Source organism: Homo sapiens, chromosome 10 (assembly GCF_000001405.40).
Source record: "Homo sapiens chromosome 10, GRCh38.p14 Primary Assembly".
NCBI classification, from domain to species: Eukaryota; Metazoa; Chordata; class Mammalia; order Primates; family Hominidae; genus Homo; species Homo sapiens.
Window position 1 is genome coordinate 91531308 of NC_000010.11, and position 19308 is coordinate 91550615.

Genomic DNA, 19308 nt, shown 5'->3' on the forward strand with positions numbered 1-19308 from the left:
CAACTCCAAGACACATAATTGTGAGATTCACCAAGGTTGAAACGAAGGAAAAAATGTTAAGGGCAGCCAGACAGAAAGGTCGGGTTACCCACAAAGGGAAGCCCATCAGACTAACAGCTGATCTCTCAGCAGAAACTCTACAAGCCGGAAGAGAGTGGGGGCCAATATTCAACGTTCTTAGAGAAAAGAATTTTCAATCCAGAATTTCGTATCCAGCCAAACTAAGCTTCATAAGTGAAGAAGAAATAAAATACTTTACAGACAAGCAAATGCTGAGAGATTTTGTCACCACCAGGACTGCCCTACAAGAGCTCCTGAAGGAAGCACTAAACATGGAAAGGAACAACCGGTACCAGCCACTGCAAAAACATGCCAAATTGTAAAGACCATTGATGCTAGGAAGAAACTGCATCAACTAATGAGCAAAATAACCAGCTAACATCATAATGACAGGATCAAATTCACGCATAACAATATTAACCTTAAATGTAAATGGGCTAAATGCTCCAAATAGAAGACACAGACTGGCAAATTGGATAAAGAGTCAAGACCCATCAGTGTGCTGTATTCAGGAAACCCATCTCACGTGCAGAGACACACATAGGCTCAGAATAAAGGGATGGAGGAAGATCTACCAAGCAAATGGAAAACAAAAAAAGGCAGGGGTTGCAATCCTAGTCTCTGATAAAACAGACTTTAAACCAACAAAGATCAAAAGAGACAAAGAAGGCCATTAGATAATAGTAAAGGGATCAATTCAACAAGAAGAGCTAACTATCCTAAATATATATGCACCCAATACAGGAGCACCCAGATTCATAAAGCAAGTCCTTAGAGACCTACAAAGAGACTTAGATTCCCACACAATAACAATGGGAGACTTTAACACCCCACTGTCAACATTAGACAGATCAACAAGACAGAAAGTTAACAAGGATATCCAGGAATTGAACTCAGCTCTGCACCAAGCGGACCTAATAGACATCTACAGAACTCTCCACCCCAAATCAACAGAATATACATTCTTCTCAGCACCACACGGCACCTATTCCAAAACTGACCACATAGTTGGAAGTAAAGCACTCCTCAGCAAATGTAAAAGAACAGAAATTATAACAAACTGCCTCTCAGACCACAGTGCAATCAAACTAGAACTCAGGAATAAGAAACTCACTCAAAACCACTGAACTACATGGAAACTGAACAACCTACTCCTGAATGACTACTGGGTACATAACGAAATGAAGGCAGAAATAAAGATGTTCTTTGAAACCAATGAAAATAAAGACACAACATACCAGAATCTCTGGGGCACATTTAAAGCAGTGTGTAGAGGGAAATGTATAGCAATAAATGCCCACAGGAGAAAGCAGGAAAGATCTAAAATTGACACCCTAACATCCCAATTAAAAGAACTAGAGAAGCAAGAGCAAACACATTCAAAAGCTAGCAGAAGGCAAGAAATAACTAAGATCAGAGCAGAACTGAAGGAGATAGAGACACAAAAAACCCTTCAAAAAATCAATGAATCCAGGAGCTGGTTTTTTGAAAACATCAACAAAATTGATAGACCACTAGCAAGACTAATAAAGAAGAAAAGAGAGAAGAATCAAATAGATGCAATAAAAAATGATAAAGGGGATATCACCACCGATCCCACAGAAATACGAACTACCATCAGAGAATACTATAAACACCTCTGCGCAAATAAACTAGAAAATCTAGAAGAAATGGATAAATTCCTGGACACATACACCCTCCCAAGACTAAACTAGGAAGAAGTTGAATCTCTGAATAGACCAATAACAGGCTCTGAAATTGAGGCAATAATTAATAGCTTACCAACCAAAAAAAGTCCAGGACCAGACGGATTCACAGCCGAATTCTACCAGAGGTACAAGGAGGAGCTGGTACCATACCTTCTGAAACTATTCCAATCAATAGGAAAAGAGGGAATCCTCCCTAACTCATTTTATGAGGCCAGCATCATCCTGATACCAAAGCCTGGCAGAGACACAACAAAAAAAGAGAATTTTAGACCAATATCCCTGATGAACATCGATGCAAAAATCCTCAATAAAATACTGGCAAACCGAATCCAGCAGCACATCAAAAAGCTTATCCACCATGATCAAGTGGGCTTCATCCCTGGGATGCAAGGGTGGTTCAACATACACAAATCAATAACATAATCCAGCATATAAACAGAACCAAAGACAAAAGCCACATGATTATCTCAATAGATGCAGAAAAGGCCTTTGACAAAATTCAACAACCCTTCATGCTAAAAACTCTCAATAAATTAGGTATTGATAGGACATATGTCAAAATAATAAGAGCTATTTATGACAAACCCACAGACAATATCATACTGAATGGGCAAAAATTGGAAGCATTCCCTTTCAAAACTGGCACAAGACAGGGATGCCCTCTCTCACCACTCCTATTCAACACAGTGTTGGAAGTTCTGGCCAGGGCAATCAGGCAGGAGAAAGAAATAAAGGGTATTCAATTGGGAAAAGAGGAAGTCAAATTGTCCCTGTTTGCAGATGACATGATTGTATATTTAGAAAACCCCATCGTCTCAGCCCAAAATCTCCTTAAGCTGATAAGCAACTTCAGCAAAGTCTCAGGATACAAAATCAATGTGCAAAAATCACAAGCATTCTTATACACCAATAACAGACAAACAGAGAGCCAAATCATGAGTGAACTCCCATTCACAATTGCTTCAAAGAGAATAAAATACCTAGGAATCCAACTCACAAGGGATGTGGAGGAACTCTTCAAGGAGAACTACAAACCACTGCTCAATGAAATAAAAGAGGAAACAAACAAATGCAAGAACATTCCATGCTCATGGATAGGAAGAATCAATATTGTGAAAATGGTCATACTGCCCGAGGTAATTTATAGATTCAATGCCACCCCATCAAGCTACCAATGACTTTCTTCACAGAATTGGAAAAAAATTCTTTAAAGTTCATATGGATCCAAAAAAGAGCCCACATTCCCAAGTCAATCCTAAGCCAAAAGAACAAAGCTGGAGGCATCACGCTACCTGACTTCAAACTATACTACAAGGCTACAGTAACCAAAACAGCATGGTACTGGTACCAAAACAGAGATATAGACCAATGGAACAGAACAGAGCCCTCAGAAATAATACCACACATCTACAACTATCTGATCTTTGACAAACCTGACAAAAACAAGAAATGGGGAAAGGATTCCCTATTTAACAAATGGTGCTGGGAAAACTGGCTAGCCATATGTAGAAAGCTGAAACTGGATCCCTTCCTTACACCTTATACAAAAATTAATTCAAGGTGGATTAAAGACTTAAATGTTAGACCTAAAACCATAAAAACCCTAGAAGAAAACCTAGGCAATACCATTCAGGACAAAGGCATGGGCAAGGACTTCATGGCTAAAGCACCAAAAGCAATGGCAACAAAAAGTCAAAATTGACAAATAGGATCTAAGTAAACTAAAGAGCTTCTGCACAGCAAAAGAAACTACCATCAGAGTGATCTACAGAATGGGAGAAAATTTTTGCAATCTATTCATCTGACAAAGGGCTCATATCCAGAATCTACAAAGAACTCAAACACATTTACAAGAAAAAACAAACAACCCCATCAACAAGTGGGCAAAGGATATGAACAGACACTTCTCAAAAGAAGATATTTATGCAGCCAACAGACACATGAAAAGATGCTCATCATCACTGGCCATCAGAGAAATGCAAATCAAAACCACAATGAGATATCATCTCACACCAGTTAGAATGGCGATCATTAAAAAGTCAGGAAACAACAGGTGCTGGAGAGGATGTGGAGAAATAGGAACACTTTTACACTGTTGGTGGGACTGTAAACTAGTTCAACCATTGTGGAAGTCAGTGTGGCGATTCCTCAGGGATCTAGAACTAGAAATACCATTTGACCCAGTCATCCCATTACTGGGTATATACCCAAAGGAATATAAATTATGCTGCTATAAAGACACATGCACACGTATGTTTATTGCAGCACCATTCACAATAGCAAAGACTTGGAACCAACCCAAATGTCCAACAATGATAGACTGGATTAAGAAAATGTGGCACATATACACCATGGAATACTATGCAGTCATAAAAAAGGATGAGTTCATGTCCTTTGTAGGGACATGGATGAAGCTGGAAACCATCATTCTCAGCAAACTATCATAAGGACAAAAAACCAAACACCACATGTTCTCACTCACAGGTGGAAATTGAACAATGAGAACACTTGGACACAGAAAGGGGAACATCACACACTGGGGCCTGTTGTGGGGTGGGGGGAGTGGGGAGGGATAGCATTAGGAGATATACCTAATGTAAATGACAAGTTAATGGGTGCAGCACACCAACATGGCACATGTATACACATGTAACAAACCTGCAACTTGTGCACACGTAACCTAGAACTGAAAGTATAATAAAATATATATATATAAATTAAAAAAAGATGTTAAGGAGATGAGCAAATCCTTAACCAATGTAAGTATGCTTTATGCTCCTCTAGCAATGTATAAGGTGTATTTAACCTCACGATTCTTAAAGTTTTATTTTATTTTTAAGTGATAAATGATAATTGTATATATTAATGGGGTACAATATTACATTTTGATGCATGTATACATTGTGAATTGATCATATCAGGGTAATTAGCATATCCATCATCTCAAATATTTGTCATTTCTTTGTAGTGAGAACATTTAAAATCCTCTCTTTTTTAGCTGTTTTGAAATATACATAATAATAGCCAATCTGAGAGTTGTGATGTGATGTCTCATTGTGGTTTTTATTTGCATTTCTCTGATGATTAAATTTGTTGAGTATTTAAAAAATAAAAAAATAAATAAATAAAAAACACAGCTGCTTTTCCTCTTTTCAAGATCTCTTGGAGCCATGTCAACTTGCAACAGCTTGGCCTGCAGTTGTATCATTACTGGCCCTAGACAGTTTGCCAGATGGCTTTGCATCCCTGGCTCCTCAGTGTGGGGTGGCCAGCGCTGCATCGCGTGATTAGGATGGCCTCTGCCTTTTCTTTCTCCATGATCCACCCTCTGCCTCTGCTCAGTATGCCTGAAGCCTCCAGCCAAGCCTCTGCACAGCACTGAGGGAAAACCATGTGGACAGAGGAGTGACAGTGGGGTGAAGCCACGGTCCTCCTGGTGTCTCTGAAAGGGCAGTCCAAAGAGAAAAGAATGTGAGAGTGGTGGGTCTCTACGAAGCACCTCACACTATGATTATTGGTTGGCATCAACTGTTTGAGCCTCTTCCATGTCTTTTCCCTGCACCCCCATCCCTACTACTTTTCCCTATTTCTTCCAAAGTACTTCTCCAGGCCGTTAATCACCAAAGCACTAGAATTCCTACTGTCCTCCCTCCAACAGAGATCTTTGTCCCAATTCACTACCCTCTGCCAATAAGATCTCAGGATCCTTCTTGGTAGTCTCGACCCCCAAAATTCTTCCCAAGAACTCTACAACCAGATTCTCTATAGTCCAGCTCTGAACCCCATGCAACTTAGCATGTCTTCTCTGCTCCCTTGGCCTGGGGACAAAGAAAACACAAGATGAAATAACCCTAGCCTTACCCTTTCAAAGCTCTCCACCTAGTAGGAAGATAGGATTTATATGCACTGGTTCACATAGAGTTCATGGCTGTATGCCCTGTAGGAGAGACTAAAAGAGCCACAGAGCCCAAGAAGGGAGGAATCGTTTCTAAGTGAAGGCTCAGGGAGGATCAGGAGGGCAGAGGGATGAAGAGCAAGGACTCCTGGGCTAGGCCAAGCAGATTAAAAATGTTCACTTCCTGTGTGTGACTTTGTACTTGTTAACATCTCTGGACCCAGTTTCACCTATAAAGCAAGGATAACAATACCCACCTGAACCTCACAGGGCCTGAAGATCTAGGGATTGTGCATTTGGTGCTTGCCTCCTTGTGGATGCTCAATAGGCATTATTTCCATGGTGGAGGCAACAGTGTAAACTCTCTGAGGCCAAGGGCTACAGGAGGATCTAGGACATGAGCTATGGAGTCAGAAGATGTGGATTCAAATCTTAGCAAAGTATGTGCCCTTTCTGAACTTCAGTTTATTCACCTATACAATGGGAATGATAATAGGACCCAACTCAGAGGGCCATTAGGAGGGCTAAATGGAACAAGCTTGTAAGACATTAGCATAGTCCCTGACATTTAGTAAGCACTTAATAAACATTGGCAACTCTCACTGCATGGGAGCTCACATAGCCTGGGCTGACTGGCAGGTGGCACTCACTGGCCAAATCCCAAATGTTCTATGTGGGTTCACAAGATAAGGGTCTCATAGGGACCACAGACAGGACAGCCACAACCATCTGCTCCCTTTCATCGGGAGAACATTCTGCCCAATGTTGCAAAAGCTTTGTGGAAATTTCTGTTTGCTGAACTGATTTCAACAACGATCTCCATCCCATGAATTCCAGCCTGTTTGTCTAAAACTTTCTTCCTAAAAGACTGTTTACAAGTTCAAGTAATCAATGGTATCATCAATAGTACACCCACTCCTCAACTCAATCATGCCAAAGACAAGTTAGACTATGACCTTGCCTTAGAGCTGTTATGGTAACACAATAGTAAATCATCTCTGTCCAGTTTACACAGCATCTTTGCCATACACTGTCACACTGGTTCCTCACAACAACCTCATGTGACTGATGGGCAAGAGTAAATGGACCTTCAGTGACCACTCTAGGTCTTCTAAATTGGTGTTGCTTAGGGTGAGTGATCTGGAAGGGGAATTGTCTTGATGCGTGGTATGCATGACAAGCACGCTGCTGTGGGTTGATTTGGGGTTGTTTTAGGGAACTGATAGCTGCCCTGGAGACCACCAGACCTTTGATGTCATCTAACTCAACTCTCTCACTTTACAAATGTCAGAAAATGAGGCCCAAAGAAGGGAAGCAACTTGCCCAAGGTCATGAGATGGTCAATGCAGAGCTGGGAACAGGACTCTGGTCTCTAATTTCCACTTCTGAGATTTTCCCACTAAATCACTGCATCACCCAGAACATTTTTGTTTGGTAAATTTTTAATAAAGTTTAAGTAATCTGCACCCGTATCAAGAAAGAGAACATCACCCTAGAAGCACCACTATACCTCCTTGCAGATGCTAGACCCCGAAGATAACTACCGTCCTTATTTCTCACGTCTGAAATTGAGGTATTTTTCTGTGTTTGGATCTTTATATAAATGGAATCATGTAGTATTAATATTTGTACCTTTTTTTCTCAACACCGTGTCTGTGAGATTCTTCCAGTGATCTTGCATATAATTGTAGCTCATAGCTTTTTCATTGTTACATAGCATTTCACTGTCTGAATATAGTACAACATATTTATCCATTCACAGTAAATGGACATTCAGGTAATTTCCAGTCTGGTGCTATTACAAAAGTGCTGCTCTGCACATTCTTGTAGGTGTCTTTTGGAATTTCTGAGTCATGGGGTGTGCAGATGCTCACCCCATCTTTATGAGGTACCACACTATTTTCCAAAGTTAAACTAATCCATCATCTGTGTGTCAAAGTCCTGCCCCAGCACTATTTTAAGGTGAGGAAAACTGAGGCCCAGTGAGGGCAGGTGACTTGCCCTGGGTCAACACCAAGGAAGGGGCAAAGTTGGACAGGTATCCAGGTATCCTGGGCCAGATTTGTGTTCTTTCTCCTGCCCGGTTACTCCTGCCCCATGTATCAGCTCGAGCCTTAAAGCTCAGCTCCAGGTGTGCCCTGCAGACCCTCCTCTCACCCCGCCATATTGTTTGTATGTGTGGCAGTCTCCCTGGTTGCCTGTTTCCCTGGAAAACCAGGGCCCCTTGGTGGGGATGAACCCAGCTGTGACAGAGCATAGTGAGGCTGCAGGTCCTGCTCGGAGGAGGCGGGGAAAGTGCTCTGGGGCCTAAGGAGTAGGTGTGGGGGGATGTGAAGCAGATGGAATTAAGCACCTTCCACTCCACAATTTCCTTTCATTAGGTATCTTGTCTTCACAAAATGGTCCCACTTACTTGGTGAGACTTCATGAAGGTAGGCTATTCGAAGAAGAGTGGCATTTGTGGATCTTTCCTCAGTCTAGGCATGTGGTGCTATAGAAGGTGCAGGCTGGGTTTCTCATACCTGGGTCAGTGGGGTACATGAGGCGAGTGGGAGTGGAGAAAGAATACAGAGGAGGAAACTGCAGCTTTCTGTTCATTGTGAAGGCCTGGGGAAGAATGAAGAGGCAGTTGATTTCCTGTAAAAAGAAGCCAGAACAGCTTAATAATGCTAATAAGAGCTACCATTTGCTGGGCACCTTTTACAAGTGACGTTATTCTAAAGAGACATTCAAATCACACCTTATAGATGAAGAAATCAAGGCCCGGAAAGCCCCAATTCATCAGAGATCATGCCGGGGTGGAAATAAATATTTTGTTGACCACCCAGTAGGTGCCCAAATTAAATAAAATTGAAAGATTTCTTTACTGCCAGAATTCTTAGAGTCTTTATGATAATAAAGTGCATTAATTTCTAAGGGGAAAGTATCATTTATAAAGCTTTTTCCAAACTTTTTACCCTTTGTTCCCAAGGTGCATGTATTAGTCTGTTTTCACACTGCTGATAAATACATACCCGAGACTGGGCAATTTACAAAAGAAAGAGGTTTAATGGACTTATAGTTTCAAGTGGCTGGGGAGGCCTCACAATCACGGTGGAAGGCAAGGAGTAGCAAGTCATGTCTTACATGGATAGTGGCAGGCAAAGACAGAGCTTGTGTAGGGAAACTCCCATTTTTAAAACCACCAGATCTTGTGAGACTCATTCACTATCACAGGAACAGTGCAGGAAAGACCCACGCCCATAAGGCAATCACCTCCCACTGGGTTCCTCCCACAACACGTGGGAATTGTGGAGTTACAATACAAGACGAGATTTGGGTGGGGACACAGCCAAACCATATCAGTACATTTATTAAAGTCTTAGTAAATAACACAGGTGGGAAATATTGGTTTCATGTCGCCTACGTATTTGCATTAAAAACATCATTTTCTAAGCCAAAATCAATCATGATTAAGAAGAAAAAGACAGGGACTCTTTCTTGAAAAGAAAAACATAACCCTCCCCACACCCCACAGAGATTCAGAATGAGCCTGGCATTACCTTGACTGCAGGTGATTTAGGTGATTTGAATGTCTCATCCCCTAGTGTCCAACACAGAGAAGTTGGTTACCCAGATATCAGCAGGTGAAGCTTGAGAGAGTGGGCCAGATTGTATTTTCCAAAGATGGCTACAAAAATATCACCCATCCTACATTCTCTTCTACAATGTGACCTTGCCATGACCCCATCGGGAGGCAGTGTCAGTTTCCCTTCCCTTTGAATCTCAGTGGCCCTGGAACTGCTTTGACTAATAGAGTATGGCAGGAAATGACCAGTGTGACATCTGGGGCCGAGTCATAAAAAGTGATGCAGCTTCTGTCTTGCTACTGGAACAGTTCCAGCCATGTAAGAAGTCCAGCTACCCTGAGGCTGCCATGTTATGAGGAAGCCCAAGCCACACAGAGAGGTCATACGTAGGTACTCTCGTCAGCAGTCCTGGTCTTCAAGTCATAGCAGCCTAGAAGCCTCAGGATGATTCCAGCCCCACCTGTCGAGTCACCTAAGCCTTTGAGTCTTCCCAGCTGAGGTCCCGGATATCATGCAGCAGAGGCATGCCACACCCTTTGTGCCCTGTCTAAGGCCTTTGAGTCTTCCCAGCTGAGGTCCCGGATATCATGCAGCAGAGGCATGCCACACCCTTTGTGCCCTGTCTTTGTGCCCTGACCCATAGAATCTATGACCATAATTTTAAAAAAGGTTGTTGTTTTAAGCCACTAAATTTTGGGGTGGTTTGTTAAGCAGCAACATTAGCTGGAACAGGGTGTGTGTGTAATACGGGCATGAGTGAGTGTATTTAAGTGAAGGGTTTAGGTTGATATTAGTCTTCTTTTTTATATCAATGGGTGATTCTTTCTCATATGCTTTTTTGATTAGTATGCAAGCTTTTGATCAGGAACTCATTAATTCAAGAATATATATTAAGATCCAGCTATTTTCACCCAAAGAGACAAAGCCCTGATGTGGCACCACCTCCATGGAGCTTATATTCTATGTGGACACTTAGTCAAATGCTAGTATCACACAACTGAAAATAATCAACAGGAAGGAGCAGCGGGGGAGGAAAAAGGCAGAGAAACCCCTGGCAACGAGGAGACAAATGAAGTTCTGGGTGCTTGAAGCCATGGAGACAGTAACTCAAATGGTTTGAAGCCGGAAATCATTTCCTAACCAGCTGTAAATTTGAAAATCCCATATGTGGTACAACATTAAGCTGCTATTTTGGAAATTCTTTCATCTTTTTCGGAGGCATCTCAGGAGCCCTTCCTTCCTCTTGGAAGGCAGCCAGTTCTCTGCAGAAATCACTTCATCAGCAGGAGCTGAGGCATTTCGCATGCAACTATATAATTCTGGAAACGTGGCTTAAAAAATATTTTCTCCTGGGTAGAGAAAGAAACATCTCAGAGCAGTGTTTCTATAAGCACCAGCTGGGCAGCTCTGAATGCACTTTTTTTTTTTCTTTTTCCCCTTTGAAATGGCAGGATCCTGACACCTGCATTTGAATGTAATGCAGCATTTATTTATTTATAAGATGGAGTTTCACTCTGTCACCCAGGCTGGAGTGCAGTGGTGCGGCTCACTGCAACCTCCACCTCCCAAGTTCAAGCCATTCTCCTGCGTCAGCCTCCCAAGTAGCTGAGATTAGAGGTGCCCACAACCACACCCAGCTAATTTTTGTATTTTTAATGTAGATGGAGTTTCACCATGTTGGCCAGGCTGGTCTCAAATCCCGACCTCAGGTGATCCGCCCTCCTTGGCCTCCCAAAGTGCTGGGATTACAGGCGTGAGCCACTGCACCCAGCCCCACTGATGCATTTTTAGCAGGGAAGTGGTGTGATGACATGATCATCTTGGAAAGAATGCTCTGGCTGGAGAGTATGGGGTGAAGAAAGCCAAGCATGGCATCCGGGAGGCAGGTATAAGGCTATTGTAATGGGCCAGGTGAACAATTGTGCTGGCCTGGAACAGGACGGTGGCAGAGCAATAGAGGATATAGAAATGGTAGTTTGGGGAAGTGAGGAACTCTGACTTAAACAAAACACTCTGATGAGTCCTTTCACAGCAGTAAGAAGTCATAGAGCATGGTGCTGAGGCAAAGTAGTCAGACTTAAGGAACTAGGTTCCTTGCCTAATGATGTAAGACGTTGAAGTTTCCATAGGCAATCCCAGAAGAAGGCAACAAGGAGCACAAGAATGGGGAGACATTGCTGCAAGGGGAAGATGGGGGACCCGACAAGATGGCAAGAGGCCAGGATTCCTAGGCATAGCAAAGAGCAGTGAAAAGTCTCAAGTGACAGAGTGTTGGAGGGACGTTTAAGAAGCAGAATGTGGCCGGGTGATGGTAGCTCATGCCTTAATTCCAGCACTTTGGGAGGCCAAATGTGAGAACTGCTTGAGGCCAGGTGTTTGACACTAGCCTGGGCAACCTAGCAAGACCCCAACTCGCAACATAGTGAGACTCCAACTCTACACAAAATTTCTTTAAAAATTAGCTGGGCATGGTGACGTGAACCTGTAGTCCCAGCTACTCTGGAGGCTGAGGCAGGAGGATCGCTTGAGGCCAGGAGATCAAGGCTGCAATGAGTTATGATCGTGCCACTGCACTCCAGCCTGGGTGACAGTGCAAGAACCCGTCCCAAATAATAATAATAAAGAACCACAATGTGTTTGTCTGCTGCTTGTTGCTACAGTTCAATGAGTTCTCTGCCCATACCACCCCTGCTTCCAATTTCCCCTAAATGCCCTGAAAGCCCTGTACAAGTAGTGGTTTGAGAAATGAAGGGATATAGGACAGGAAGGAAGGGAGGGAGGAAGGGAGGGAGGGAGGGAGGGAGGGAGGGAGGGAAAGAACTAAAAATTTGATTCCTTCGTACCAACCAAATTATTTTTCAGTTAAAAAGCTAATAGTCAAGTGGTTTTGAACATGTAAAAACAAGAAATATTGTTCTCATGAGCCCTCTTGAGGAACATACTGGAGGACTAACTTATGTGAATCACACAGTGAGCACAAAAATTGTATAAAAGGACTGGCAGTGAATGTAGTAGATTTCATTTAACCACAGGTCTACGAAGAAAACACAGTGGGGATTAAGCTGACAGAAAAGAAGGCAAACATTATATGTTCCAACAATGTAGAAAAGATATAACTAACCAAAGGAGAGAAAAGGGAAAGCAACGTGGTAGGTAATAGAGAAATACACGGATGCCCTTTTCGTTACGATACAATGAGTCAAAGGATGTCATTAAAAGCTGACAAGCCAAGTAAGAGAGAGAGGTAAAGCACATTTCACAGCACAAAGATTAAAAACTAAGAATAATAATATTATTGACTAAAATTTGGTGGTAAAAGAAGATGAGAAGTTTATAAAGGAAAAGGAATACATTGGAATATACTGATTTTATTATTGCTCATATTTGGAAATTAATAGGGACTATAATGGAGGATTAAGAATTAAGAATAGAAAACTATAAGTGCAAGATTAAGAACATTAAACTAAGTTATAAAAGTAAACCGGGACAGGCACGGTGGCTTATGCCTGTAATCCCAGTATTTTGGGAGACCAAGGAGGGCAGATCAGGAGTTCAAGGCCAGCCTGGCCAACATGGCAAAACCCCATCTCTACTAAAAAAATACAAAAATTAACTGGGCCCAGTGGTGCATGCCTGTAGTCCCAGCTATTCGGGAGGCTGAGGCAGGAGAATCACTTGAACCGAGGAGGCAGAGGTTGCAGTGAGTTGAGATCACACCACTGCACTCCAGCCTGGGTGACAGAGTGAGACTCCATCTCAAAAAAAGGAAAAAAAATCATAAATGTGGAAAATACACATAAACATTTCATTAATGAAAGAAGAAAATCACCATTATGTAACTTCTAATTAAATGATCTAGAGAACAATTTTCAGTGGCTGAATGTTTTTTATGAACTTTAAGCAAAGAGATCAGGTTGGCAATATCTGAACCCACTAATCAAGCGCCAAAAATAAAACAACCAGATATTATGTGCCTGCTGATGTAACTCAGCACTACCTTTGAAGTATTTTCACACAAAAAATTAACAAGAATATGAATCTAATGGATCAATTTGCAGGAGATGCAGAAGATAGAAGATAAATTACACAACACTGTGCAAAAACAATCAGCCCATTCCAGAAGGGAGAAATTTTACAGGACAAATGATTCATGGAAAAAGATCAGAGAAAAGGACATAATCATCCATTGAAAGTGAATTGGGAAAAAATATAAAATAGCTACAATGTGTGGACTTGGTTTTGATTCTGAATTGAAAACTAACTATAAAAAGTAATTGAGCTTTCAAGCTATGATGATGTCTCCACGAGAATAAGGCTCTTGAAAAAGATCACCTTCATCCCTCTCAGGCAGAGATGAAGGAACCCAAGAAGCACTCAGGGTTAAGCCCCAATTCCTACTGCATAGATGTAAGATGCCCAGGATGTGACACAGTTGCCTCGGTCTTCGGCCACGCACACATTGCGGTTTTGGGTGTTGAGTGCTCTGCTACTCTTAGCCAGTTTGCAGAAGGAAAAGCAAGGCTCACAGAAGGATGCTCCTCTGACAGAGCAGCACTGAAGGCACCCTGAATCAACAAGAGTGGGAAACCATCCCAATAAACATGTTTTGGATACAAAAATTGAGAAAGTCAGGAAAATTTGAATAAGGACTTGATATTAGTGGTATTTAGGAATTATTAATTATATATGTAATAATGGCATTCTTTATTGGTGGGTTTTGCTTTTTTCCTTTTCTATTACAGGCATATATTGAAATATTTGCAATATACAGGCATATATTGCATATATTATGAGTGAAAGAAGATGCTGTCTGGGATCTGACTTTAAATGTCCAGGAAAAACCTACCCACCCATTCTCTCACACACACATACAAAGGCCCTACACCCAGATGGCTTCCCAGGAGTATTCTACCAACCCTTGAATTTAACGTAATGGGTAATCACAATGCTATTGAATGTGTTCCAGAATACTTGGAATGCATTCACTCACTTAATCCTCATGCTAACCCTCTGAGGCAGGGATCATCCTCACTCTACATATGAGACCACTGGGTAACAGGCTCAGTGAAGAATCTAGCCTACGGTCACACAGTTGGAGGTGGTGGAGACTAATTGTAAACCAGGAAATGCAATCTTAGAGCAAGTGCCCTCACTTAGGGCTGCTCTGTACCATCCTTGTGAACCACACCCCTGACGTTGTGCAGAACACACAGAACAACCTTGAAGAATGTACATGTGGGCCTACCTTAAAAACTATGCAATTCAGTCTTTCATAAATAAATTAATGGATTAATATATAATAAATGAATGAATTTTCTTCATTTAGCCTTACGAGTTTCACCCTCATCAAATGGACTCCCTAAATCTTGCCTTGTTCTCAAAAAGGCTGAATGCAGAGGTAGCCATGCCAAGACCACACTGACTGAGTTCCAGCAACCTCACTGCTAACTCTGCTTTACTGGTTGGGAACAAATCAGTTGTCAAAATTGCTTGATAGGAAATGAAGTGACATTGGCCTAGTTCCTTTTGGCTACTCTGGCTTTCTCCAACCGAGAGGGACAGCAGTCGGCCTCCCTGTCAGAAACTCTGGCCTGAGATAAAGAAAAAAACCACCAACACAGCAAGATGCAAAAGAAGCCAGAGGCCCACCTGCCCCAAATCATTCATCTCCTTGGACTGCTTCTGAGTGTGAAACTCCTGCCATTGGCTTCTCTTCCCTGGATTAAAGACCAGTTAAAATATGGATCTGTAAACTCAAGGTAAGAGCACAAAGGTAACTCTTGGTAACACTTTTCACATGAACACAGATTCCTTTATCAGTGAGCTAAAAGAAAGTAGGACCAAGAGGAATTTGGGTACAGATGGGAATGTTGAGGGGAGAAAGGAATCATAAAAAGGCTCAAATGTGGAGCTATTGGTTGAGAAAAATCTGTCTTTGTCTGGTGCCATTTTGAAGGAAGGGATGGCTTGGGAAGATGGAGCCAGGTGGCATGTGGGCATTGAGTGACCAGCAGAGGAGGATCTGGGAGACCAGGAGCTGTAAAAGAAAAGACTGAGAGAGGTTGTGATTCTTTGGGGAGTTCCTCTCCGTTTCATATGATACCTGGTGAGGCTGTCAGTCACAGGGTTAGACCACGTGTTCCAGGCTAACCAATTAGACTCTTTCCTAAGATTGATACATGGATGGTAAGAGACAGAGGTCTGTCGTCAACATCTTTTTAAAATAAATTTAAATGTAAAATAATTCAAGCATGAAGGCCGGGCACGGTGGCTCATGCCTGTAATCCCAGCACTTTGGGAGGCTGAGGCAGACAGATCACTTGAGGTCAGGAGTTTGAGACCAGCCTGGCCAACATGGTGAAACCCTGTCTCTTGTAAAAAAAAAAAAAAATACAAAAATTAGTTGGGCATGGTGGCGGTGCCTGTAATCCCAGCTATTTGGGAGGCTGAGGCAGGATAATCACTTGAACTGAGGAGGCAGAGGTTGCAGTGAGTTGAGATCATGCCACTGCACTCCAGTCTGGGTGACAGAGTGAGACTCCATCTCAAAAAATAAATAAATAAATATTCAACCATGAAAAAGTAGCAATAATCATATAATGATTTTAGTATGCCCTTCACCTAGATTAACATTTGGCTATATTTGCTTTATCAATCACTTTCTCTCTCTCACCTTCTCTGTTCATATTACTTTATTACATTATGTAATATAGGATTTTTGTTGTCATGACTGAGCTATTTGAGAGCATATTGTAGACATCATGATCCTTTATCCTTAAATACTTTGCATTTACCTCTTAGGAACAAGGATACTCTTTTACATAATCACAATACAATGACCAAATTCAGCAAATTTGACATTGAAACAATCTTCTTATCTAATACACAGTGCATTTTAAAGTTCTACTAATTGTCTTAATAATGTCTGTTATAATGGATTTTTCCCATCTGTCTCATCCAGGATCCAGGATGGCATATTGCATTTAGTTTTCATATCTCTTTAGTCTTATTTAACTGAAGAGCACTTTAGCCTTTCTATGTCTTTTATGACATTGACTTTTTTAAAAAAAAAGATAGGCCAGTTGTTTTGTAAAATGTTTCTTGGTGTAGGTTTGTTGGTTCTTCCTCATAGTTAGATTCCATTTACACACTTTTGGCAGGAGTACCAGCAGCTTTCTTGACAGTCATGGAGGGAGAGCCAGTCAAAGGAGTGAAGCCATATAGAGGAAAGACGAACAGAGAGGCAGAGGAAGAAAACCAACCCAGATGAGCCCCTTGATCCAGTGAAACTCGACTTGCTAGTTACATAAGCCAATAAATTCCTCTTTTTTGCTTCAATTAATCTGAGTTGGTTTTGTGGCTACTCTGCCTCACTCACACCTTAGCCAACATGTGGGACCAGATAGTGTCCTTCAAAAAGCCCCAAATTAGTAGGACCAACTCAGGTCTGACCAGAAGGACATATCCAAGGCAGCCCACATGAAATTGGCCATCTTCCCTAGTAATGAGTCAAAAGCCACACAGTAGTAACTGCTGTCACTTGATTCTTACCTTAGAACCGTGCCTCCACAGAAAGCCCATAACCTGCTGTGGCTTATCCAAGCCCCAGTGACACAAAGAGAAATCTGATTTATCAACATTTCCAGGAATACAGACTTTTTCTTCTCTCTGCATTTGTCCCTTCACTAGGGCCTCCCCATTCTCTCTTTTGTGCATTAACTATGGTCACCAGATATCCTATCTCCATTTACCATTTACCTCACGCTTGTCCAGTCCACAGCCTGCAGGCTGCATGCAGCCCAGGACAGCTTTGAATGTAAACTTTCTGAAAACATTAAGAGATATTTTTGACAATTTTTTTTTAGCTCATCAGTTATCGTTCGTGTATTTTATGTGTGTCCCAAGACAATTCTTTTTCCAATGTGGCTCAGGGAAACCAAAAGACTGGACACCCCTGAACCTGCTGCCTCTTTACTATCTCATTATAATTAGTACAGTTGTGTAGAAGCTTTAGCCTCTGGAAGATGAGAGATTGAGTGGGTGCAGCCGGCTCTCCTGTGGGGGCATCTGGCCAGTCCATTCTCTTGGCTCCCCCGCCTGGATCCTTTTCTTGCCTGGGTGTTGTATGTGACCACCAGATCTGACCATTTCATGTGTGTTTCCACTTTTGTCAGTTATAATTTGCCAGGCTTGCCCTTTCCATATCTACACATGGAAAGCACATTAGGTTGCTAGAATTCACAAAATAGAATGCCACAAACTGGGTGTCTTAAACAACAGAAGTTGATTTTCTTACAGTTCTGGAGGTGAGAAGTCTAAGACGAAGGTGTTGGCAGGTTTGGTTTTTAATGAGTCTCTTGCCTTGGCTTGTAGGTGGCCTTCTTGTTGCCGTGCCCTCACAGGGTCTTTGTTCTGAGCATGCACATGTGTGACTCCCAATTTTCTCTCCTTATAAGGACACTAGTCAGATTGGAGTAGAGCCCTACCCCAACAGCCTCATTTTAACTTAATCACCTCTTCAAAGGCCTGATCTCCAAACACAGTCACATTCAGAGATATTGGAAGTTAGGGCTTCAACATACCAATTTTGGGGGCAGGGGCCACAAGGCAGTCCATAATAGAGAGGAACACATTATGTCAGGAGCGCATCTGACCTGCATTCAACTTAACCCCACTCAAAATTACTCAAGCAACAAATACATTTAATTATCTCACATAACAACAACCAAAAAAAAAAAGTGTGGCAATATTTTGTCCCTGGAATGGTGCATTGACTTAAAGGTATTACCAAAGACCCCATTTCTTTTCACCTTTCCCTATGCTGCCTTTGATATATTGGGGTTTTGTCCTTGCACTTGTCATAAGATGACTGCCAGGATTCCAGATATTATCACAACACTTTCCCCTTGGAATTTATTGGCTACGACTGAGTCATGTGGCCACTCATAGATGCAAGGGAGGCTGAGTAAGCAAGTGTCAGACATAAAATTGATTGTATGCAGGCCAGGCACTGGGATTACACCTGTAATCCCAGGACTTTGGGAGGCCAAGGTGGGTGAATCACTTGAGGTCACGAGTTCAAGACCAGCCTAGCCAACATGGCGAAACCCATCTCTACAAAAAAATACAAAAATTGGACAAGTATGGTGGCACACACCTGTAATCCCAGCTACTTAGGAGGCTGAGGCACAAGAATCAGTTGAACCCGGGAGGTGGAGGTTGCAGTGAGCCAAGATCATGCCACTGAACTCCAGGCTGGGCAACAGAGCAAGACTCTGTATCAAAAAAAAAAAAAAGCATTGATTGTATGCAGAAAAGAGTTAACATAATAGGCCTGAGACAGCTATTCTTAGGAAGGCCTGCTTACGAGGTTGGCCTTTGGTTGGCATCTGGGAACTTGGATTTTGGGAGGGGCCCCACTATTGTCAAAACTGATAACCATGGTTCACTGTGCTGAAACTGTGCATGCAAACAATATGGTATGTGCTGAACACCTGCTTGTCTTTTCTGGAGGTCTGGAATGTTGGTATATACTAGGTAAAGGGTGCCTGTGTGACCAGCCCCCGTTAGAAACCCTGGGCACTGAGTCTCTAATGAGCTTCACTGAGAGGCAACATTTCACATGTACTGTCACACCTCCCTGGAGAAATGAAGCGTGGCCTGCATGACTCCAATAGGAGAGAACTCTTAGAAGCTTGTGTCTGATTTCCTGTAGACCTTGCTCCATGCACGTTTCCCCTTTGCTGATTTTGCTTTGAGTGTATCATTGTATTGTAATAAATCTTAGCCATGAGTGTGACTATATGCTGAGTCCTGTGAGTCTTCCTAGCAAATCACTGGCCTTGGGTTGATCTTGGGGACCCTGACGCAGACAGACACCATGGTCTTAGACCAAGCATGATTCATCTTCTGGGAACTGGTCACCTTGGGGTTCTGTCAGTGGAGAGGAAGAGTGGTATGGCTGTGGAAAGTGACACAGTGTCTGCCACACAAATTGGTATTTCACTGAAAGATGTACTTATCAGAACAATGAGGACACCTAAAGACATCTGTAGGGGTTTTGTCACTTGCAACC

The 19308-nt window shown here is 42.2% G+C and overlaps 1 long non-coding RNA gene and 1 pseudogene across 1 annotated transcript in view; one reads left to right on the top strand and one right to left on the bottom strand.

Moving 5' to 3' along the window:
• The window catches only part of HECTD2-AS1 (HECTD2 antisense RNA 1), a 304499-nt gene that overhangs the window by 224346 nt on the left and 60845 nt on the right, over positions 1-19308 (bottom strand). The window contains exon 2 of the long non-coding RNA NR_024467.1: positions 8078-8271. This is a non-coding gene — a long non-coding RNA (HECTD2 antisense RNA 1). The remainder of the gene's footprint in view (positions 1-8077; positions 8272-19308) is intronic.
• On the top strand, positions 13551-13781 carry RPS27P1 (ribosomal protein S27 pseudogene 1; annotated as a pseudogene).